Raw genomic sequence first — 23,726 nt, forward strand, 5'->3', positions numbered from 1 at the left:
CCTACTAAGTGCCAGGCATGGTTCTCCACACTCCACAGGGTAAACAAACCATCACAAAGTCCCTGCCTTTGTGGAGCTCACGGTCTACTTGGGAGAGGCAGGCATTAAATCCATAGAGAAATAACTTAGTGCCAGGCATAGCTGAGTGCTGTGAAGGAAAACAAAGCAGGAGTTAAAGAATTGGGAGGGTGGTGGTGAGGGGGTGGGGGTTGTCAGTTTAGATGGGGCAGTCAGGGAATGCCTCACAGAGGAGGTGACATTTCAGTGATGAGCGAGGGCTTCTGCGAGACACAGACCCTCCCCTGCCTGGGGCTGTCTGGGCCACAGGTGTGTCCAGGTATGGCAGGCCCAGGTCCCCAAACTCTTCCTGCCTCTCGGTTGGAGCAAGGAACCCAGAAGAGGCCTTAGGTGAGGCTTTTGAGGCCGGTGCAGAAGCCTCAAGCTGCTCTTCACAACAGCTGTGATTGGGCTCTTTCTGCATGGCGAGAGGCAGAGATTGCTTTGTGCGCCGAGGGCTCGGCTGATTGTGGTGGGTGCCGGGCGATTGGCACCCACAGACCGCGGCCGCCAGGGTTTACCACGCACCCCCAGCACCGCGGCGGGCCGTGCGCAACGCGCCAGCCCAATCTCGCCTCCTATATTCAGAGTTGATTAGACGCTATTTCTGCCTGGATTTTCAGAAGGCTCAAGAGCTTTTTTAATCACTACAGTGGCTCATTACGGTTTTGCAGTGACACTCATGTCCTTCAGTTCTCTTCTCAGATTAGATTCTATAGTCAGATGAATATTGGATGATTTCATTACATACAAATGCAATCAACAGTTTTGCATAAATTTCTTCTCTTTTCTTGAGTTTCAATTGACCCCAGCACCCATGGTGGCAGGCGCGATCCACATGCAAATGAGCTGGGTTTGCAGCCGAGGAGAGGGGCCGGGAGGAGGCGGGCACTTGCACCAGCCCAGGGAGGCAGCAGCCTTGATTGCTCAGGCTTTGGGAGAGGGGCCTTGGAGGAGGGGGCACCCTGCAGTGGGCAGCCTCTGTGGCCAAGGCTGGGCACCCCATTCAGGATAGTGTTCTCCAGGTGAACTGAAGCACAGGGATGCTCCGAGTAGGACAGGCTCTCTCTCTGGGCAGAGACTGGAATGTGAAGTTAAGGCCCTGGCAGCTGGGCTGGCAGGGGAGGGTGTGCTCAAGATGCTTGGAGCAGTGGCTATTTAACAACTGGTGTGGACATGTTTCAATCTTTTAACAACTGGTGGGGCTATAGCAGTGCATTCCTGCTGTGTATTTGCTGCTGCTGTTATGATCATAATCACTGTCATTACTCCCTCTGGAGGGCTTAAGCTGTGGCCGTGTGGGCAACCAGTAAGAGACAAAAGCCAGCCCGAGGCAGGTGGGAAATTTTGGAGCCTGAGGCAGTTGTCTCCGGCATCATTTTCTGGATTTCTCTATTGCTTTATTGGGTGGAGGGCCAGGATATTCTCAGAATTGGGCCTCAGAAGTCTCCTAATCCATCCCTTATCTGATGCTTGAATCCTCTCTACGACACCTCTGTCCAGTGGTTTGGCAACTTCTCCTCCCTGGGAATGAGAAACTCCTTCCCTGCAAGGACCCTCTTCCGCCTCCCACAGTTCCATAGCGAGAAGGTGCTTTCTATGACTCCTGAAGCCACCCTCCCCAGCCCTGACTGTGCGCTCTGGGCCCAGCCCACCTCTGCTCCTTTGCCCCGTTGTAGCCCCTGAGGTCAGCAGCTGGTGACTGTGCTCTCCTGGGTCACCTTCCTAGGGCTGGTCTTCTCGATTCCTGCAGCTTCCATTCCCAGAAGCCATCCTCCAGCCTCCTATCCTGGTCTGTCCTCCAAATGCTTCTGGTGGCTGTCACGATTCATAGTCCGGGCCTGGACTCAACACTAGGCACAAGGCTGGAGGGAGGTGTGGGGAGGAAGAGGACCCAGGGCTAACAGCTGAGCATCCCACACGCTAAGCATTAGAGCCAAGACGACGGTCTGCACTTTGCAAACCTCACTTCCTTTGGGCAGCTTCTTTATAAAACCTTCAAACGTAAACACAGACCTGACAGGATGCAGAGAGAGACATGTGGATGCACAAAAATTCAGGGACCCAAGCTACTGCCATCATGGACACAAGGGAACCTGGAAGTGGCTGGGGTCATAGCCAGCCATGGTCAGGAACGAGACACGCCTGTGCAGCCACCGCTCCGGGCTCAGGTTCTTTCCTGTCACTGCCCTCGGCTCCCTAGACGGGGCTTGTAGAGATGCAGGAATCTGAATTGAAGCAGAGGGCTCCTGTGTGGCTGGTGGGACTACTGAAGTCTGGAGAGGGGAGGTCTGGGTAAAAAGTCACACAGCATTGAAGTGAGAGTCTCCTGATGCAGGCTGGGGGCCACTTTCTTGTTCCTCTGGCTGCCCCTGGGGACCATTCCCTCATCATTCTGTCCTGTGTGCAGTCAGGAAGATGTCTTCTTTCCTGGTTGAATGGACGCCCCCACTCATCCAGTCATTGCCCATGCCTATACCTCTGCTTCTGCTTTCGCTCAGCTTCCCTAGGCTCTTTCTGCTTGCATCTCTGTGTACATTTCTCTCCTGTTTCCCTGTCTCCATCTCCCTGTATGTCTCCTTGTCCCTTCCTCCCCCATCCCTTCCCTTGCCTCCCTGTCCATCTCCTCATCTCCCTGGGTCTGGTTGTCTGTTCCCTTTGCCAGGCCACATCTGCTCCTTTGCTGTCAGGTCACGTGTTGCCCAGAGCTGGCCTCTGTCTGGGATTGGCAGAGTTGAGATCCCCAGGACTGCTTCCTTTAGAGCTGTGGCCCTGGAAGGAGGAGGTTGGGGAGCGGCTCATTTCTGAACTCTTTGGAGCCTTCCTACAGTGACCTGCACTGGGTCATCTGTCCTTCCCTCCCAGGACGAGGGAAGGACGGCTGGGAAGCAGCCAGCTCTCTTTCATCACAGACCTATTCTCACTCAGGCTGGAAGAGGGGGCTGGAGTTGGGTGGGGAGGGTTCAAGAGGACTCCCACTGACTCTTCAAGCCGACTGGGATCATCCTAGACAAACCTGCTGCTGTCTGCGGCCAGCTGCCCCCAAAGAAGCTCCCTTCCTGCCTCCCCTCCCCCAGGTTCTCCTGGCAGAATGAATCTACCTTGCCTCACCTTTCCCTACTCCCCTCTCTCCCACCCAGGCACAAAGGGCTGCCTTCCCCTACCACGCCTGCTTTCCAACCTGCGCACCTGCAGGATGGAGAGGAAATAGCTGAGCTCTGGAGACTGATAGGACCACGACAAATCCCAGCTCTGCCACGTGCTAGCTGTGTCATCTCGGGCAAGTGACTGAACCTCTCTGAGCCCAGTTTCTTCCTCTATAAAATGCAGACAATACTCCTTCCCCTGCAAGGCTGTCAAGAAGATTATCTTATGTGAAAGTAGCTAGTAGAGAGCTGGGCACAAAGTAGACTTAATAAAACATTTGTTATGAATAAATGAATGAGTAAATATGAGTGAATCATAGAATTGAGACATGCATAAATGGGGCATGGAGAAGGAGTGCCAGGTGTCCAGAATGGTACAGGCAGAGGCAGGAGGTAAGAAACCCTGGAGAGGGGACAGGGAACCATGAGCACGTGAAGTACAAATGCAGAGTCAGGGGTCCCAAAAGAAAGTCTCAGGACATGAGGCAGAAGTGGCAAGGGCCACATCCTGGCAGTGTGAAGAGCCAGGCTCAGAGGCTTTTTTCCTTTTTCTTTTTAAAATTGAGCATCCCTCGTAGCAGCAAAAGGAATGATCAGAACTTACTGAGAGTCAACAATGAACCGGGCAGCTAAAAGTGATTAAGGCAGCAGCTTCCGTGAGTAGAGGCCTCGTGCTGGGGCATCTGACAAGCATTGCCTCATTTAATCTTCACAGCAGCCGCTGAGGGAGATGCTATTACTATTGTTTTCGCTTTACAGTTCAGGAAATTGAGATCTAGAGAAGTAAAGTGATTTTCCTGAATCACACTGCTAATAATGATCCCAGCTAGGATTTGAATCCTGGTCTATTCTGGCTCCAGAGCTTGTGCTCAGTCCCTTGGCACCACTTGACCTTCCGAAGGGAGGACCCCCACATCCCTGGGCAGGTGAGGCCATGTGAGTGAAATGGCTTAAACACACTTTGAGTTAATGAAGGGGAGTACAGAAGGCATAAGCAGAGTGCCTGAGTATGAGGAAGATGGAAGCTTGGCTTGGGGGAATCAGGGCAGGCTTTCTGGAGGGCGCTGGACACAGAGGCAGAGGGGCAGCCCAGGAGTGAGGCTGAGGCAGGCCTGGTGGGGATGGAGGTGGGGTGGGGGCTGTCACCCAGGGCCTGGAGTACAGTAGCTGTGCTGCCTGCAGCCTGGGGCTGGGGTTCTTGACCAAGATCTGCTTTTGACTGGGGTCTACTTCCGTAGCCCCACCAGGCCCAGCTTGTGCCTCATCTGCTGGTCCCCAGAAAAGCAAGAAGATCAGGATTCTGGTGACTCCAGACCTGGGCCCCATTCCCAGTTCTGCTACCCTATCATCTCTTTTTTTTTTTTTTTTTGAGACAGAGTCTTGCTCTGTCACCCAGGCTGGAGTGCAGTGGCATGCTCTCCGCTCACTGCAACCTCCGCCCCCCACCTCCCAACCCGGGTTCAAGGGATTCTCCTGCCTCAGCCTCTGGAGTAGCTGGGATTACAGGCACACACCACCACACCTGGCTAATTTTTGTATTTTTAGAAGGATGGGGTTTCACCATGTTGGCCAGACTGGTCTCGAACTCCTGACCTCAAGTGTTCTGCCCACCTCAGCCTCCCAAAGTGCTGGGATTACAGGTGTGAGCCACCACGCCTGGCCTGCTACCCACTTGCTGCAGAACTTTGGCCAAGCTTATGCCCCTTTCTGATCCTTGCTTTCCCCACCTCCAAAATGGGGGTAGAAATGCCCACAGCTGGGTGCAGCTGACAGTCAAGGGCCAGCAGGGTCCGTACAGGGCCAGGTTCAGAGCAAGTGCTGAGCAGTGCTGGCTCCTTCTCCCATCCCCAGGGGCCCCTGAAACTCTGGGCCAGGCCTGGACGCCAACAGAGAGGGTGTGTGCTGCAGACTCCAAAGCCAATACAGTCTGGATCTATATTGTCTGAATCTGTACTGCTGTGTGGTCTGGAGTAGGGTACTTAACCCACTCTATGACAGTTTCCTCATCTGTAACATAAAGATTCTAAGTCCAGAGTCCCTTCTCTAAAACCTGTAAAGTTAGATGAGTTTCAGAGTTCTTCTTATTCTAAAGTCTAACGCAAAACGTATCCTGTGTGCTGCGTGACCTCCCAGTGGGATCTAGGGCATTTCTTATAATTAAATTCATGTTTTTTCCCAAAAACATATAAATATTCGTATCAGGTAGTGAAATGAAGACCCAAAATAGCCTCTCCTTAGTCCAGGTCAGATGTGGCATCAGACCTGTGGAAAACCTTTTTGGTCACTGAAGCTTTTTGAATTTCAATCTTGTGGTTAAGGGATGATGAGCCTGGAGTATTTGCTCACGCATGGGGCTGATGAGGGGATAAGATGAGTTCCTATACACAAGGCATTCAGAACCATGCCTGGCACATAGTGAGGACTTGAGACATAAATGGTAGACAATGGCTTCCTCCCTTGCTCAAAGCCTTCTCATGGCTCCCATGTCCTCAGGATAAAGTGCAAACAATTTAGCATGGCATTTGAGGCCCTTTATGGTTGGTGTCCTGCAAAGCTTGATTCTCAGGTGTTACCACTGCCCCTCACACCCTAAACTTTATATTCATTCTTTTGTCAATTCCTCAGTCACATCAGACCCTCTTTCTCTGGAGGCTGTTTCACTTGCTGTATTTTCTGCCTGAAACGCACCCCCTTCCCTAAACTTCCTTTCTCCACTCTGTGTCAGCCTGCAAATCTCACCGCCCTCATCTAAGCAAAAGTCACCTGCAATGACTATTGCCTACCTCCCTCCTCCAGACTGTGGTCTCCAGGAATGCCGGGGCCATGTGCATATTCTTCTGTGGCACACAGTTGGTGCTGAATGAATGAACATTCTCACCCATCAGTGGTGTTGCGTTTAGCTCAGGGACTGAATAGCATTCATTGGATGAATAAATGAAACACAGCTTTGGAAGGAAGATCCCTAAAGGAATCTTCCATCCCTACCTCCACATGTACCGCAGGAGAAAATTCCTGGAATGCTTTCCTCCTGCCCTTTCTAACTCTCATCCCCCTCAGATTCCTTAAGTGATTTTAAAACAGGGGACCCAGTCCATGCAGGGGGTCAGTGGGGCCTCCAGAATTGCAGGGCCTGGAGGAGGCAGCATCCGTACATTAGGCAGAAACCACTTGTCCGGGGTTGTTAGAGGCCTCTGGGGCCCGGGGAGCAGGGGGTAGGGCAAAGCGGGCCTCCAACACTCTGGGGCAATTGATATAAAATAAACTCCATAATCAGGTAAATGCATTCGTGCGGGGGATGGTTCCCGTGCAGCTGTGGGCGTCCCCCAGCCGGAGGGGACCTGTCTAATCTCAGGGTAATGAAAACGTGGGTCTAATTACCTCAGAGGGCCGAGGCCTGGGCCACGGCCGGAGTTGGGGAGTGGGGGCCCTGGCAGCGGAATTAGAACATTTAAGCTGTCACACCAAATCCGGGAGAGGCCTGATTACCTGGCCCTAGAAGAGGCCGCTTTGGTTTGGTGTCGACTATAATTTCCTGGCCACCAGCCGTGAAGCCAAGGGCCACCTTCTCTCCCCTGTGATGGGGGTCCAGGTTCTGCCTCTTTGACCCCCCCACCCTCACATCAGACCCACCCAGGGGAGCCCGCCTGGGCCTCCCAAGCTGCCCGTGTGGGGTAGATAGGGGAACAGGTACACCAGTCACACATACCGGCTACGTGTATGCACACAGGTTATAGGTAAATGCCTTAAGGAAAGTGTGCATGCTGGCAGAGGGTGAATGAACATGAGCAGATGTGTATATGGTACATCTACATTTGTTGTGTGCACACTCTACTTTGGATTGTATGTGTGGGTTGCAGGTACAAGTGGTATGAATATACTGGGTGTGGGTAAATAATAGGAGATGTGTCTACATGGATTATGTGCAGGTGATCCACCTTTTTTTTTTTTTTTTTGACTTTTTTCTGAGACAGGGTCTTACTCTGTCACCCAGGCTGAAGTGCAGCGGTGCAATCATGGCTCACTGCAGCCTGGACCCCCTGGGCTCAGGCGATCCTCCCATCTCAGCCTCCTGAGTAGCTGGGACTACAGGTGGGCACCACCGTGCCCAGCTAATTCTTTTTATTTTTGCAAAGATGAGGTCTTCCTATGTTGTCCAGGCTGGGCTGATCCATCAAGGGGGCAAGTGAGTGGTTCGTGCCTATGGGCTGTATGTTCATGACGCTACAAATGGGAAATGTGCACACAGCAGGGCCACATGTATGCAGGTTACATGTGGTATGTGTTCACAGTGGTGTGTGCTGGTAAGTGCCATGAAAGCAAGAAGCTGACCGCTGTACCCCAGCATCTAGCCTGGCACATGGTGGATAGCTGTTGATTATATAGATGCTCAATGACTAGAATCCGTTATCTTCAGCAAACAAACGCAGGAACAGAAAACTAAATACCGCATGTTCTCACTTACAGTGAGAGCTGAATGATGAGAACACACGGACAGATGGGGGAGGAACAACATACACTGGGGCCTGTTGGAGGGTGGAAGGTGGGAGGAGGGAGAGCATCAGGAAGAATAGCTGATGGATGCTGGGCTTAATACCTAGGTGATGGGATGATCTGTGCAGCAAATCACCGTGGCACACGTTTACTTATGTAACAAACCCGCACATCCTGTACATATACCTCTGAACTTAAAATAAAAGTTGGAAGTCGGGCCGGGCACAGTGGCTCACGCCTGTAATCCTAACACTTTGGGAGGCTGATGAGGGTGGATCACCTGAGGTCAGGAGTTCAAGACCAGGCTGGCCAACATGGCGAAACCCCGTCTCTACTAAAAATACAAAAATTAGCCGGGCATGGTGGCGGGCACCTATAGTCCCAGCTACTCGGGAAGCTGAGGCAGGAGAATCGCTTGAACCTGGGAGGTGGAGGTTGCAGTGAGCTGAGATCACGCCATGGCGCTCCAGCCTGGGCAACAAGAGTGAAACTTCGTCTCAAAAAAAAAAAAAAAAAAAAAGTTGGACATCAAATAAACAAACAAACAAACAAAACTATAGATGCTCAACGAATTTATGTCTGTGTGATAGGTACAGGGGAACTATGTGAGGCATGTGTTAATGATATGAGCATTTGGAGTCTACAGGGAATGTGCCTGATGTGTGTGTGTGTGTGTGTGTGTGTGTGTGTGTGTGTGTGTGTGTGTGTGTGTATTTGTCCCCATTGTGTGATTGGGGGGCATGAGCTCCAGATACAGTACTGTGGAATGCTGAACTGCCTCCTCCATTTACAGGTTGACCTTAGGGAAGTCATTTAACCCCTCTGAGCCTGACTTCTCATCTGTAACACAGATACTAATAATCACAGCTAACATTTACTGAGCACTCAGTCTATGTGTGGCACTGTACTATACGCTTCTCATGCATGATGATCTCATTGACTTCCCAACAACTCAAAAAAGGAGGTACTACTATCGGCCCCATTTTACAGATGGGGAAACAAGCTTGCCACAGGTTAGATAATGGTGAAGCCAGGATTCAAACTCAGGTGATCTGACTGTGGTGTGAACTTTTAGCAGCCAGGCTAAATGAATAGGACCTGTTGCATAGGCCTGTCCGAAGGATTGAATGAGGTCATCCACCCAGCAGTGCATATGGCACATAGTAATCACTCGGTAAATGTTATTGCTATTATTTGCACATAGATATGGGACATATAAAACAGCTACAAGAATGTGTGGGAAATGGGCATGTAGTATATTTGTGACAGAGAGATGTGTAGCTGTGTTTGTGTGGTGTGTATAGACATACATTTACACAAGGTTTATGACACATGTATTTGGGTATATGAATATACGATATATTTTACATGATGAACACAAGGCATGTAAATCCATGTATTATGATGTCTTTGGATGTACTATATTGACATGTGGCTTATGAAATTAGACAAGCACATACTTGAGGGTTGTGATACACATATGGTCTACCCGGGGTCTGCGTATGTATACATCTAGGGTGCAGGCATAAATGTGCACATGGCACACAGCAGGACACTTGTGTGCACAGAAGTGATACATATTATAGATGCAGATGCCATAGAGAGAGATCAGATGTAGGCCAGGTGGTGGCTAATGCCTGTAATCCCAGCACTTTGGAAGGCTGAGGCAGATGGATCACTTGAGCTCAGGAGTTCAAGACCAGCCTGGGCAACATGGCAAAACCCGTCTGTGCAAAAAGTAGATAAATTAGCCAGGCGCAGTGGCGTGCACCTGTAGTCCCAGCTACTCAGGAGGCTGAGGCAAGACAATTGCTTGAGCCAAGGAGGTGGAGGTTGCAGTGAGCCCAGATTGTGCCACTGCACTTCAGCCTGGGTGATGGGAGTGAAACCCTCTGTCTCAAAAAAAAAAAAAAAAAAAAGGTATGCATGTAGCAGAGATAGTATGCATGTTGTATACTAGACTATGCATATACTGTATACCATGCATTTATATGGTCTAGTATGTGCAGATGTATGTGAGGTGCTTATGCATGGGGTATTTATAGGCATGTGGATGTAAGTGGAGTATGTTTGTGTAATACATATACTTGGAGGTATATATTGTATATAATTTTGAGATGTATCTATTTGTTTGTGACACATATTTTGTGCATCTTTGCTCCAGCGTCACCTTCTTAAGTTAAAATATCCATAGCTACCCTGTTTAAAACAGCCCCAATTTCCCACCAGTCCCTTCTTCCCTTTTCTCCCTAAAAGTATTGATTTTTAATATACCATATAATGTAGTAATTTAGGATGTTCTGTTTCCTCCCTCACTAGAGCATAAACTTCAGAAGTCCAAAGCTCTTCTCAGTTTTTACTGTATTGGCCGCCATCCATTACAGCTCACTGCAGCCTGCATGGAACTCATGGGCTCAAGCGATCCTCCCTCCTCACCTACCCGAGTAGCTGGGACTACAGGCGCGCGACACCACGCCTGGCCAGCTTTTCTCTTTGTTCACGCTGGACCCCCAGTGCCTGGCACAGGGCCTGGTCCCTGGCAGATGCCCACCCACTCAGCCACCACGTGTGGAAGCAACACGTGGATGTCGGCGCAGGCAATGCGGCTGTGTGGGGCACGTGCAGCGTGCAGTGGAGACTTAGGTGCATGGCACAGACACGCATGTTACAAGGGGTGCGACCGGCAGAAGGCTTGTGCGCGCGCCTGAATACATGACGGCCGCCTGCCCGCTGCCGCTTGCCCGTCGCTAGGTCACCTCGCACCCTCGCCCGGCGGCCCTCGGTGGGCGGCCCCGTCCGTCTCCCGGGGCGCGACCCCGTGTACCCGCGCGGCGGTCCCGGGCTGCTGTCATTTCCCGGCGGCCGCAGGGCGGGGAGTGAGCGGGCCGCGGCCCGGCCGGGCGGGCAGGAAGCGCGCATTGTTCGCGGGCCGCGGCCCGGCAGGGAGTTCCCGGCCCCGCGCGGACATAAAAGGAGAAAGAGCGCCCGCGGAGCGGCCCGGGCGGCCGGGGGAAGCGCGGCCCCGTGCTCCGCTGACCCCGGCGTCCACTCCCGGCTCCGCCCCTCGGCTTTGAGGCGCAGATTCGAATCCCGGCTCGCCGCCTCCCTGAGCCTGGGAAATGAACGTTGGCTACTGGAAGCCCTCTCAGGGCAGACCCCCGTGCTCGCCCCCTCCACTCCCCGCGTCCAGTTTCCTGCTCCGCTAAAAACCCAACCCTGTGCTACGGTTCCTCAGCCTCCTGACAAGAGAAGGTGCACAGTGAAACCCAGGATTTCGGAGGAAAGTTTCACCAGCTAAGAAACCTACCACTGTAGCTTGAGCCACGCCCCACAACTCTGGCCTAAAACACCCTCTTCTGAGCGGAACGTTGTTTGCAGGCACCTTTATGGATGGGAAACAGAGACCCGGAAGAGGAAAAACTTGCTTAAGGCCATCAATAACAAAAACCCTATTGTGCAAAATTTTTACAAACCGGGGGCTTTCTCCCGTGCTTAGAGGCATTGCCACTTTCATGGTGGTTGTTGATTGAAAAACTGATGGAATGATCACTTACTGGGTGAACCGGCGTCACACCTGATACTGAATCCTCACGTCCCTTTTGGAGGTGGACATGAGTAAACTGAGGCCCAGAGATATAAAGTGTCTTGCCCCAGCTGGTTGAGGAATGGGACTCGGCCCTGCTCTGTTTTGGGAGATGTTACTCCTGACAATGCTGGCACCATAATCTTGGGCGGGGACATATTTGCATAAGGGTTAAGATCTAATCAAGTCAGGAAAAAGTAAGGAGTTAGCAACCCCACCCATTGCAGCCCAGCCCAGCCCATAGCATTGAGCTTTGCCCTCTTGGCCTAGATTGTCCTCTTGCCTCTTTGGTGGGAAAAGGTAGGAAAGGAAAAGGTTGAATCTTCACAGTTCCCACAGGGGCCCAGAGAGGTTAAGTGAGTGGCACCAGGTCACACAGCAAAATGGCTGTGAAGCAGAGCCTCCACTCACACACAGCCAGACCTCTCTTTTTGGGGAGAACCCTTTTCCTGCGTCCTGAAATTTTGGGGACCTGTCCTGAGGTGTCTTCACCCACTAGGCCAGGAGATTCTGATTATGGAGAAACGGCCTCCCCTCCACCCCTATCCCTGCCCGGCCGGGGAACCCTACACCCTGGGGTAATTGAGATCAGATGCAGCTGTGACCCACAGAATGCTCCCTAGGAACCTGGAAGCATTTATTGTCTGGAAGAGAATCCAGGGTTATCCTCCCTCCCTTGCTGTCCCCTCCCCAGGCGGCCTGGCCGAAGGTGGATCGGGCCTGAGGAGCCTCTGGTGCTGCCCCGGGTTAGAGCAGAGGCCTTGATGAATACGACTGCTGAAAGCGTCTTCCTGGCTTCCTCCTTCCTGGGGATATGGTTACAGGGGGCCAGACTTCCTGCCCAGCCTGCCTTCGCCTTCGCCTTTTTAGCAAAGTGTGGTTCTGCAGGCTCTCCTCCTGCAGGCAGCTCCGCACGCCCACCCCCATGCTTTGCAGCTGGGGCACCAGCTGGCCCCATTTCATTCAGAGCCCAGCTCAAATGTCACCTCCTCAGGGAGACCCTCCCTGGCCACCCTATATGAACCAGCCCACCTACCAGCAGTCCTTCCCTCTCACCCTGTTTAATTCTCTTCATATCACTTATCTTTAGTTGGGTGGTTCATTTATTTTCTTTCAATAATGTTTATTTCCTCTCCCCACCGCAAGAATGTGAACCCTGGGAGGAAGGGGACTTTGTCCTGCTCACTGCTGTATCATGAAGCCTGGAACTGTGCTTGGCACATAGTAGGTGCTCAGTAAATACTGGCTGAAAGAACAAGGCAAGGACTGAGCAACTGCTGTTGACCTCTGAACTTGGAAGTTGGCCTTGAATCACATTGCTCTGAGGTGAGGTTTGCAGTTTCGGATCTCCACCCTTTGGCTTGTCCTGATTGCACATCTCTGGTATAAATCCCCACTATCTTTTTTTTTTAAACAGAGTCTCACTTTGTCACCCAGGCTGGAGTGCTGTGGTATGATCTCGGCTCACTGCAACCTCTGCCTCCCAGGTTCAAGTGATTCTCCTGCCTCAGCCTCCCGAGTGTGGGATTATGGGTGCCTGCCACTACACCTGGCCCCTGGTCTCCAATTTCTTGTGTCTGGATTTTGGTTCTCTCTCCTCACTCAACAAGCCCATTTTACATGGTAGTGCTATGAAGTCGGGCAGGGTGCCTGCTGGCCAATACCATACCTTTGTCTGACTTGAGAAAAGGTGCTCCCTAATGGGAGGATGCAGTCCTGCTGGTCCCCAGCTTGACCAACAGAAAGTGAACTTACATGAAGAAAACGGACCATCTTTTTTGGCTGACACAGCCCCACACTTGGGCATAGGTTGGCTGATTTCAGACCTCTTGTGTAGTGCACAGACTCCACAGGTGTGTGACTTGTGCTTGGTTTAATCTTCTACTGCCATTGTCTTGAACATTTTAATATTTGAACAAGGGGCTGCATATTTTTATTTTTCAAAGGGCCCCTCAAATTACGTAGCTAGTCCTGATTCTACACACAGTCCTGATTAGGTGTTAGCTGCCCCCATTATACAGAGGGGGGAAGCTGAAGCCCAGAAAAGGTGACCACTAACGTGGCTCAGTGAAGCCTGGTGGGGCAGAGGCTGGTCTGCCAGCTCCTAGCTGGGTGAGGCTGGGCACACTCTGTTATGGGGGAAACAGGCATGGTCCCCTCCCCTGACCCCCGCAGGTGCTCAGGATCAGAGAGAAGAGAGATGCTGTTCACTTGTTTGCATTGCCCGGACACAGCAGGTGCTTGGTACTTGTGGGGGACTGAGGTGCCAGGGCAGTGTGGTAGAGGGAGTGACGCTTTCCATTAGGGGCTTTGGAGAGGGCTCCCTGGAGGAGGTGTCAAGGGATCTGACATTGAAGGATGAGGAGGGTTTGAATCAAGAGAGGAGGGGAAGGATATTCCCAAGAGAAGGTCCAGGATGGGCAAAGATCGCTCAGTCTGGATAGGAGAATGAGGATGGCACTGGAGAGGTAGGGGCCTCAACGTCAGGGTGAAGATTTTATCTTCTGTGTGGGCTTGGGAGAGTCCCCAGCTTCTACTCCAACCACAGCAGATCAGTGTAAACATGTTTTCTGTTTTATACATGGGATGGAGGTGCAGGGAGTGAGAGGGTCTTTGGATTTTGCTTGTAAAAAAAGAAGTTGCCTCTAAAAATATGGTTAAAAGCCACAGCTGTCGGGGATGGAAAACAGAGAAGGAATTAATACTCCGTCTGGCAGCTCTGGCCTTCTTTCCTTAAGGAGGGTTTGCCCTCTTTAAGGAAAACCCATAGCCTCAGAGAGGGGCAGGTGTCTGCTCTGGGTCCCTGGTGTATCTAGAACCCAGGACTCCTGACTACTAGATTGGTGCTTTTTTGACTTCATAGCTGCAGGAACTCATCTCCACAGGCCTGTGGTCCAGTTTCCGTGGTCTCGTGGCAAAGCTGCATCTCCAGCAGCAATAGATGCTTCCTTCTCCCTCCTCTGGCCGGCCTGCCAGGCCAGCCCTGGAAAAAGGCGGCCTATGCTGCCACCTGGTGGCCACTCACAGGCAGGGGAGGGTGCCACTTCTCTGCTGGGAGCTAGCTGCATTGTCCTGGTAACTGATGGTCTAGACACGGGATCCTGTGCCTGGGTGGGGGTTGCCCTGTTCTGGGGCATTGACCCCTTTGGGAATCTGGGACTATTAATGGTGGTATGGCCCACCTCAAATCTGTTCTTCCTTCTGTCTTTCCCAGTCTAAGGGACTTAATACCCTAATTGTCTAATCTGGAAGCCTGGGTTTTACCCTTGACTCTTCCCCCTCTCTTTTCCCCTAAATCCGGTCTGTCCCGAAGTCCTGTCAAGCCTACCTTTTAGGCACATATGGCATGTGTCCCATGCTCTCTATTCTCAAGACCACGACTCGGGTCCAGCCGCGTCATTGTCCTCACCTGGTCTTCTCCCCACTCAGGCCTGTCTGCAATCCACTCCCCAGTCTACATCCAGAGGGACTTTGTTAAAATGCATGAATACTTATATTCTCCCTGCTTGAAACCATCAATGGCTCCCTATTACCCCCAGGACAAAACTTAGCCTTTTTGCCAGGCTGCCTCTTAGAATTGCCACCCTCTTAGAAATAGTCTCTTACAAACCCTCTAGCTCTGCTTCCCACAAGCCCCCTCTTTCCCCCACTAGCTGGGCAGCATAGCACAGTGGTTACAGGAGTAGATGCTAGTGCCTGGGTATCTGCTTTTTTTTTTTTTTTTTTTTTTTTTTTGCAATGGAGTCTCACTCTGTCGCCCAGGCTGGAGTGCAGTGGCGCAATCTCAGCTCACTGCAAGCTCCGCCTCCTGGGTTCACGCCATTCTCCTGCCTCAGCCTCCCCAGTAGCTGGGACTACAAGCGCCTGCCACCACGCCTGGCTAATTTTTTGTATTTTTTTTTTTTTTTAGTAGAGATGGGGTTTCACCCTGTTAGCCAGGATGGTCTCAATCTCCTGACCTCATGATCCTCCCGCCTTGGCCTCCCAAAGTGCTGGGATTACAGGCGTGAGCCATCAAGCCCTGCTGGTATCTGCTTTTAAATTTCGCTTTTGTCATTTGATAACTGTGTGACCTCAGTCAGGTTCCTTATCTCATTTTCCCAATCTCCAAAATGGGATTGATGATAATAGTGCCTAAGAGGCACTATTAACTGAAATATCACATAAGAAATTGTGCTAAGTTGGGCCAACTACAAGGTTAGAGGGCAGAGACTCCACACAAGACCACTTTCATTTCTTTCTTTCTTTCTTTTTTTTTTTTTTGAGATGGAGTCTGGCTCTGTTGCCCAGGCTGGAGTGCAGTGGTGTGATCTCGGCTCACTGCAACCACCACCTCCAAGGTGTGAGTGATTCTTCTGCCTCAGCCTCCCAAGTAGCTGGGACTACAGGTGCGTGCCACCAAGCCTGGCTTTTTTTTTTTTTTTTTTTTTGTATTTTTAGTAGAGACAGGGTTTCACCGTGTTAGCCAGGATGGTCTCGATCTCCTGACCTTGTGATCCGCCCGCCTCGGCCTCCCAAAGTGCTTGGATTACAGGCGTGAGCCACTGTGCCCGGCCCACCTTCATTTCTTAAAAATTTTTTTTAATTAAAAAATTAAAAAATAATTTTTTGTGTTAATTTTTTTCCCCCAGAGATGAAGTCTCACTATGTTGCCCAAGCTGGTCTCGAGCTCCTGAGCTCAAGTGATCTGCCCACCTTGGACTCCCAAAATGCTGGGATTACAGGTGTGCGCTACTGTGCCTGGACAAAAAATTTTAAAGTTTTAAAATTTATTCATTTATTTGTTTATTATTATTTTTGAAACAGAGTCTCAGTCTATCACCCAGGCTCGAGTGCAATGGTATGATTATGGCTCACTGCAGTCTTGACCTCCTGGACTCACGTGATCCTCCCACCTCAGCCTCCTGAATAGCTGGGACTACAGGCATGCACTACCATGCCAGGCTGATTTTTTATTTTTTGTAGAGACACAGTACCATTATGTTGCTCAGGCTGGTCTCGAACTCCTGGCCTCAAGTGATCCACCCATCTCAGCCTCCCAAAGTGCTGGGATTACAGGCATGAGCCACGATGCCTGTCCACCATCACTTCTGATACCAGCTACAAGTTCAAGAGGTTCCCCAAACCACCCTCAGATTCCGTAATTTGCTAGAAAGACTCACAAGACTCACTGAAAGCCGTTATACTCATGGTTATAGTTTATTACAGGGAAAGAATACAGATTAAGATCAGCCAAAGGGAGAGATGTATAGGGCAGAGCCCAGGGGGGTTTCTTTCAAACATGAAGTAAAGCTTCCATTGTCCTTCCCATGGAATCAGAATGTGTCACTCTCCTAGAATCAATGTGACAATATCTGTGGAGTATTGCCAACTGAGGAAGTGCATCTGAGCTCAGTGTTCAGAGTTTTTATTGGGGCTCTATTTTCTTTTCTCTAATTTACTTTATTGTAAGAATATAGCATATAATATATATAACATATAAAATATGTGTTAATCATCTGTTATGTTATTGGTAAGGCTTCTGGACAACGGTAGGCTATCAATGGTTAGGTTTTTGGGGAGTCAAAAGTTATATGTGAATTTTTGACTGCATGGGGGTCAGTTTCCCTAATCCCTGCATTATTTTTATTTTTTTGAGACAGAGTCTAGTTCTGTTGCCAGGCTGGGGTGCAGTGGCATGATCTAGGCTCCTTGCAACCTCTGCCTCCTGGGTTCAAGTGATTCTCCTGCCTCAGCCTCCTGAGTAGCTGGAATTACAGGTGCCTGCCACGATGCCCAGATAATTTTTGTATTTTTAGTAGAGACAGGGTTTCACCATGTTGGCCAGGCTGGTCTCGAACTCCTGACCTCAAGTGATCCACCTGTCTTAGCCTCCCAAAGTGCTGGGATTACAGGCATGAGCCACCGTGCCTCGCCACCCCTGCATTGTTTAAGGGTCAACTGTACTAGCTGTTATCCACTTGAGATGCAATCTACTTCTCACAGTTCCTCTAAAGGGGAACTCTCTGTCTCTGGGCCTTTGCACCTACTGTCTTCTCTGCTACGAACACCTTTTCTCTGGGAAGACCCTGGGGACTGAGTTAGGTGCCCTGCATGTACCTCACCTGCCTCCTCTTCTCCTCTTTCCCAGGACTTATCCCATGGTCATTGCCTGGTCAGTGGTCAATGTCTGTGTCCCCCATCACAGTGTGGGTACCTTGTGGGCACAGAAGCTTCTGTCTTATTCTTCCCTGTTCCAGGTGCTCGGCACAAAGTAAGCACTAAGGAACTGGTTATTTTATTATTTTTATTTTTGAGACAGAGTCTCCCTCTGTTGCCCAGGCTGGAGTGCAGTGGCGCAATCTCAGCTCACTGCAACATCTGCCTCTCGGGTTCAAGTGATTCTCCTGCCTCAGCCTCCTGAGTAGCTGGGATTACAGGTGCATGACACAATGCACAGTTAATTTTTGTATTTTTGGTAGAGACGGGGTTTCACCATGTTGGCCAGGCTGGTTTCGAACTCCTGACCTCAGGTGATCCACTCACCTCAGCATCCCAAAATGTTGGGATTACAGGCGTGAGCCACTGCGCTCAGCCAGGAACTGGTTATTAAGTTAAACTTTGAACTCTGTGCTATAGGACAGAACTTAAAAACTAGATTAGACTCAGAAAGGATTTGAAAATAAATGATACAAATCTGGTGAAAAGCCATGGTCAGAAGAGGGACATTTCCTCTACTTCATAATGACATTAACCATTTAAATGCCAGGTTCTGTGCCAGGTGCTTATCCATGCTATCTCTTTTCTCCTTTAAAGCCCATGCATACAATTATCTCCATGTTAGTGATGAGGGCTTGGCCATTTAGGGAGGCAAGGTGATTTGCTCAAAGTCACACAGCTAGTAAGGGCCGAGGCGGAACTCATGCCTCTTGGAGGAGCTTGCCTCCGAGAGCTTGTAGCCTCTGGAAACAGTGATGTTGGCAGGGAGGGTGATTGCTGCTTGCCTGACTCTGAGGGCCCACTGGGCAGAGAAAATGACCTGTGTTGTGGGCCCTGAGCAGCAGCAGGGCCAGCAGGAGGCTGGGGAGGTGGATTTCAGTTTCTTGTGTCCAAGAACGCAGGCTGCCTGACGGGGTGGCAGCAAATGAACTCTTGCCTTGCACATTTGCTGCCCATGTGCCTCAAGGTCCAGGCCTGGGCTGAGATCCCTCCTCTCTGTCTATCCCCAGTGCTGCTGGGGGTGGGGAGAGGGTTCTGGGGAAAGAGGAAGGAAGAGCCAGTCCAGCCAGAGGTCTGCAGAGGAGCCAAAGGAAGAGGGAAGGAAGAGGAAGGAGGGAGGGCTCGGAGTGAGGGCTCAGAGTGAGGGTTCTGAGATTCCCAGCTCCCTCCAGTGCCTGAGTTCGTGGGTTCTGAGAAACAAGACGCTCTCTGGGTTGGGGGTGGGCTGCCTGAATTTGACCTTTTGGGCAGATGGGGCAGAAATCAGGGCCTCAAACAAACTCCATCTTGAGAGCCAACTGGGGAAGGACCTTGGCCTGGGGGCCAGGAGCCCTGGATTCCAGCTCCTTCTCTGTTTCGTGTTCTTGGGCAAACTCTTTCAGCTGTAGGCCTCAGTCTCCAGATCAGTTGAATGGAGGTTTGGGCTCAATGACTTGAGGCACCCCCTACAGAAAGGCAGGAAGCTGGGGCTCAGAGAAAGGTTGGGGAGGGAACTGGAGGTTGGGTCAGGATGGGTCCTAGTGGTGCCTGTCCATGGGCCTAGAGCCGAGTTCCGCAGCCACCCCACCCACTCCCAGCTTCTCCTCTGCCCACCACACAGACCACAGCCTTCTCTTCTCCTTTTCTGTATTCAGATATCCTTCTGGGGAAGGCCCAGGCTGGCTCCTGGGAACTCTGAGCTGCTGAAGGAGGCAACTCTAGCAGGAGGGATTGCAGTTAGAGATACAGCAGGCCACAGGCTTGGGAGGAGACAGCTGGGCTGCAGGAGGGGCCACATTGAGTGCCGTGGGAGTGGTGAGGGGTCTTTTTCTTACCCTAGCCTACCTTTGGCCCAGTATCCACCCCCCAGCACTGGTTTCTTCTGGAGTCTGGACTACCCAGGAGGCTGGTGTGGGTTGGCGGGGGAGGTAGATAGGAAGGAATGCAGCCCTGGCCTTGTCTGAGAGCTCACCCTGACCAGGAAAGTCATGGAGGCTGTGCCTGGCTGGCTGGGGGGCCTGTGGCCAAGGGTGCAACGGCTGGATTCTACATTCAGTCTAGAACTGGGACTTGGTTTGACTTGAACTGAATTTAGTAGAGTTAAACTGAGTTGGGTTGTGTTGGGATGGGTTTGATTGGGTTGACTTGATTGGAGTTGAGTTTGATTGACTTGAGTAAGGTTTAATTTGGGTGGGTTGAGTGGAAGTAAATTGAACTGAGTTGAATTTAGGATAGTTGAGTCATAAAACCCCAGTCCTATCCATCACAAGCAGCCACTCTGTGGTGGGAGGCAAACTCCTGCTTCCTCCTCTCTCCTGGGCCTATGAGGCCTTCCCCCTGGTGCTCTCAGAATGGTACCTGCAGTCCTGATCCCAAGAGGTGGAAGGGTTGGGGTCAGTGGTGGATGACTGTCATCAAAGGGACACCCAGATTGCTTCTTGGCTCCCCTCCTCCCCATCCTCCAGACAACACATTTTACTATGAGAGAGGTAGAGAAAGGCACAGAGAAGAGATAGAGATGGAGGAAAAAGACAGTCAGTGAGGCACTGCTCTGAGGCGGTAATGGCATGGCGATTGATGCTTCTGTTCATAAAGATGGCTTCTGGGGACAGACACTGTTGTTTTCCCACCCACCTCCCAACCTGACGCTCAAATCTCCTTACTCTGGGTTCAGATTCTGGGCTCTCCAGCCTCAGGAGGGCCTCATTCTGATTCCCCTAACACTGTATGATCTGGGGCAGGCCCCCTCCAGTCTCTGGGTCTCAGTTTCCCCATCCATAAAATGAGAAGATTGGCCTCAGTTTCCTTCCAGCTCTATTGTGTCTAATACTAATTTCCTGACTGGGGAAGTAGCTTTAGCTCCTGGTTCTCAGGCAGTCGGGACTGACCTAGGGCTCCCCTGGTGGAGAAAGGGTGGAGGGGATGAAGGGACGCAGGCATCTCTGTTCAGGAGGAACAATTCCCCACCCAAAGCTTAGAACATGAAGCAGATTGTGCCAGAAACAGAGACAGAGAGGGAAGAGTCAATGAGAGGAAGACAGCAATACAGAGTTATTGAAAGAGGAGGGGAGTCCAAGACAGCCACACACAGACAGAGCAGACATAATGAGAGAGAGGGAGAGAGAGAGGGAGCGAGGGAGCACCAAGCTGATAAAGGCAAGCAAAGGAGGACTGGTCATAAAAAGGAGGGAAGACAGTGCCAGGTGGATGGAGCAGAGAAGCCAGGGACAGAGTTTTCTGCTCCCTGGAGGTCAACTCAGACCCTGCTTTTCCCTGCAAGGTGTCCAGTCTGGTGGTCCCTCTTCTGGCCATCAAATCTTCTTTTGGAATTTTTCCTGCCCCCCTAATCTAAATCTCCTCCAGACTTCACCTCCCTAGAAGTGGTGTGGGCAGAGGTGAAAGCTGTCACAGGCCTGAGGCTTCATGGCCTTGGGGCTTCATTAAAGGGTAGCAGTAAATGGCAAAGTCAGGGATGAATAATAGTTATTATATGTATGGGGATGTGGTTAGAGTTGGGAGAAGAGCAAGGAGAGGCAAAGTCCAAAGAAAAATCTCCCCTTCTTTCATTAGATCAGGCATTAACTCTTGTGTTCCACCTCCCTACCAGATATCCTGTCATTTACAGATAGGCATTACTCTGTCATTTAGGGAATGACAGGATATCTGGTGGGGAGGTGGGAGGAAGGTCTTTGTTGTTGGAAGGAAGGAGGAGATACAAATGAAGAACTGAGCTGGGCAGGGATGAGTTTAGTTGAGTTAAATTATGTTGAGTGTAATTGGTTTTGTTTGGGTAGAGTACAGCGGAGTAGAGTTGCGTAGTTGTGTCATGTCAGGAAGGGTTGGGTCAAATTTAGTTTAGTTTGGTTGAATGAGTGGAGCTTGATTTGGGATTGGTTGAGTGGAGATGAGTTGAGTTGGTTTGGCTTGAACTGAATTTAGTAGAGTTAAACTGAGTTGGATTGTGTTGGGATGGGTTGGGTTGGGTTGAGTTGAGTGGAGTTGAGTTTGATTGACCTTGTGTAAGGTTTGATTTGGGTGGGTTGAGTGGAAGTAAATTGAACTGGGTTGGCTTGAGTTGAATTTAGGAGAGTTGAGATGCATTGAGTTGAGTTGAATTAAGTTGGGTTGGTTGGGTTAAGAAAGTTAAAAGACTCCTAGGAGACAGATCCAGGAGAACCATGCCTTAGGAAGGTGGCATGAAGTTCCAGCAAGGAGAGTCCTGGTTAGGGGAGGTGTCCATGGCTGAGATCTAAGCAGACTGTGAGTCTGAGATGATTTGGCATATAAATGATTTATCTCAGTGTTTCTCCATTTTCTTTTGCACTCTACACTCTCATTGGTAATGGAGGCTCATGATGGCATGGGAAGAAGGGAATATCAGAATTTCATTGCATATGCATGTGTGCTCACTTGTGTGTGTGCATGTGTGTGTGTAATCTGAAAAAATACCCAAAGGTGGTTCCTTTTTTTATTTTTAAAATTTATTTATTTTTAATTGACAAATAATAATTATGCGTATTTATGGGGTACAATGTGTATTAGTTTGTTTTTATGCTGCTAATAAAGACATACTCAAGACTGGGTAGTTTATAAAGGAAGAGGTTTAATGGACTCACAGTTCCACCTGACTGAGGAGGCCTCACAATCATGATGGAAGGCAAAGCAGAAGCAAAGGCACATCTTACATGGCAGCAGGCAAGAAAGCTTGTGCAGGGGAACTCCCATTTATAAAATCATCAGATCTTGTGAGACTTACTACCATGAGAACAGTATGGGGGAAACCACCCCCATGATTCAATTATCTCCACCTGGCCCCACCCTTGACATGTGGGCATTATTACAATTCAAGGTGATATTTGGGTGGGGACACAGCCAAACCATATCAAATATGATTTTTTTTTTTTTTTGAGACAGGGTCTTGCTCTGTTACCCAGGCTGGAGTGCAGTGGCATGATCACAGTTCACAGCAGCCTTAATCTCCTGGACTCAAGCAATCTTCCCATCTCAGCCTCCTGAGCAGAACTACAAGCACATGCCACCCTGCCTGGCTAATTTTCTTTTCATTTTTTTAAGAGACGGTTTCACTCTGTTGCCCAGGCTGGTCTCAGACTCCTAAGCTCAGACGATCTGCCCACCTTGGCCTCCCAGAATGCTGGGATTTACAGGTGTGAGCCACTGCTCCTGGCTAATATGATGATTTTATCTGTGTATTTGTTGTGGAAAGATTCAATCAAGCTAATTAACAAATCCTTCACTTCACTGACTTGTAATTTTTTTGTGTGTGATGAGGATGTTAAAAATCTTTTAGCAATTTTGAAATATATAATACATTATTATTAACTGAGTTTAGTTACCATGCAGGTATAATAGATCACTAAGACTTCTTCTTCCTAACTGAAACTTTGCATTCATTCATCAACATCTCTCCTTTCCCCATTTCTCCTCCTCCCCACCTCCCTCTCCCAGCCTCTGGTAACCACCTCCCTATTCTCTGCTTCCATGAGAGTGACTTTGTAAGATTTCACATATAAGTGAGGTCATACAGTACTTGTCTTTCTGTGCCTGGCTTATTTCACATAGCATAATGTCCTCCAGTTCCATCCATGTTGTGAATGTTTCTGTCTTTTTAAAGGCTGTGTAGTATTCCAGTGCATCTACATACCATATTTTCTCTCTTTCTATTTTTTTTTTTTGAGATGGAGTCTTGCTCTGTTGCCCAGGCTGGAGCGCAGTGGTACAATCTCGATCTCGGCTCACTGCAACCTCTGCCACCCAGGTTCAAGCAAGTCTCTGCCTCAGCCTCCCAAGTAGCTGGGATTACAGGCGCACGCCACCACTCCTGGCTAATTTTTGTATTTTTAGTAGAGATGGGTTTTACCATCTTGGCCAGGCTGGTCTTGAACTCCTGACCTCGTGATCCACCCGCCTCAGCCTCTCAAAGTGCTGGGATTACAGGCGTGAGCCACCACGCCTGGCCACCACATTTTCTTTATCCATGTATCTGTTGATGGACACTTAGGTTGCTTCCATATCTTGGCTATTGGGAATAATGCTGAAATGAACCCAGACGTGCAGATATCCCCTTGACATACCCCAAAGGTGAGTCATAAATGCCTCCCAGGCTACAGCATGTTCCAGTGGAGAATAAATATCCCGCAGAATCTTCACTTTCCCTGAGAAGTTCTGTTTGGATGAATCCCTGGCTGGAAAAATTTTTTTAAGGAGAATGAAGGGGAACATAAAGGTCAGAAAGTCTCCCCTCTCAGTTTCTT

General features: G+C 50.1%; 4 annotated features.

Moving 5' to 3' along the window:
* Positions 1 to 606: an enhancer, noted in NCBI's record as "H3K4me1 hESC enhancer chr9:125098749-125099354 (GRCh37/hg19 assembly coordinates)". NCBI's record gives its function as "activates a minimal SCP1, AML or CMV promoter by ChIP-STARR-seq in primed H9 embryonic stem cells {active_cell/tissue: H9 hESC(primed)}" and the evidence as "EXISTENCE:reporter gene assay evidence [ECO:0000049][PMID:30033119]".
* Positions 607 to 1,210: an enhancer, noted in NCBI's record as "H3K4me1 hESC enhancer chr9:125099355-125099958 (GRCh37/hg19 assembly coordinates)". NCBI's record gives its function as "activates a minimal SCP1, AML or CMV promoter by ChIP-STARR-seq in naive and primed H9 embryonic stem cells {active_cell/tissue: H9 hESC(naive and primed)}" and the evidence as "EXISTENCE:reporter gene assay evidence [ECO:0000049][PMID:30033119]".
* Positions 6,518 to 7,041: an enhancer, noted in NCBI's record as "H3K4me1 hESC enhancer chr9:125105266-125105789 (GRCh37/hg19 assembly coordinates)". NCBI's record gives its function as "activates a minimal SCP1, AML or CMV promoter by ChIP-STARR-seq in naive H9 embryonic stem cells {active_cell/tissue: H9 hESC(naive)}" and the evidence as "EXISTENCE:reporter gene assay evidence [ECO:0000049][PMID:30033119]".
* Positions 14,133 to 14,339: a silencer, noted in NCBI's record as "fragment chr9:125112881-125113087 (GRCh37/hg19 assembly coordinates)". NCBI's record gives its function as "represses an EF-1alpha promoter that drives an FKBP-Casp9 reporter gene in an ReSE screen in HepG2 liver carcinoma cells {active_cell/tissue: HepG2}" and the evidence as "EXISTENCE:reporter gene assay evidence [ECO:0000049][PMID:32094911]".

This window comes from Homo sapiens, chromosome 9, assembly GCF_000001405.40.
Source record: "Homo sapiens chromosome 9, GRCh38.p14 Primary Assembly".
Classification (NCBI taxonomy): Eukaryota; Metazoa; Chordata; class Mammalia; order Primates; family Hominidae; genus Homo; species Homo sapiens.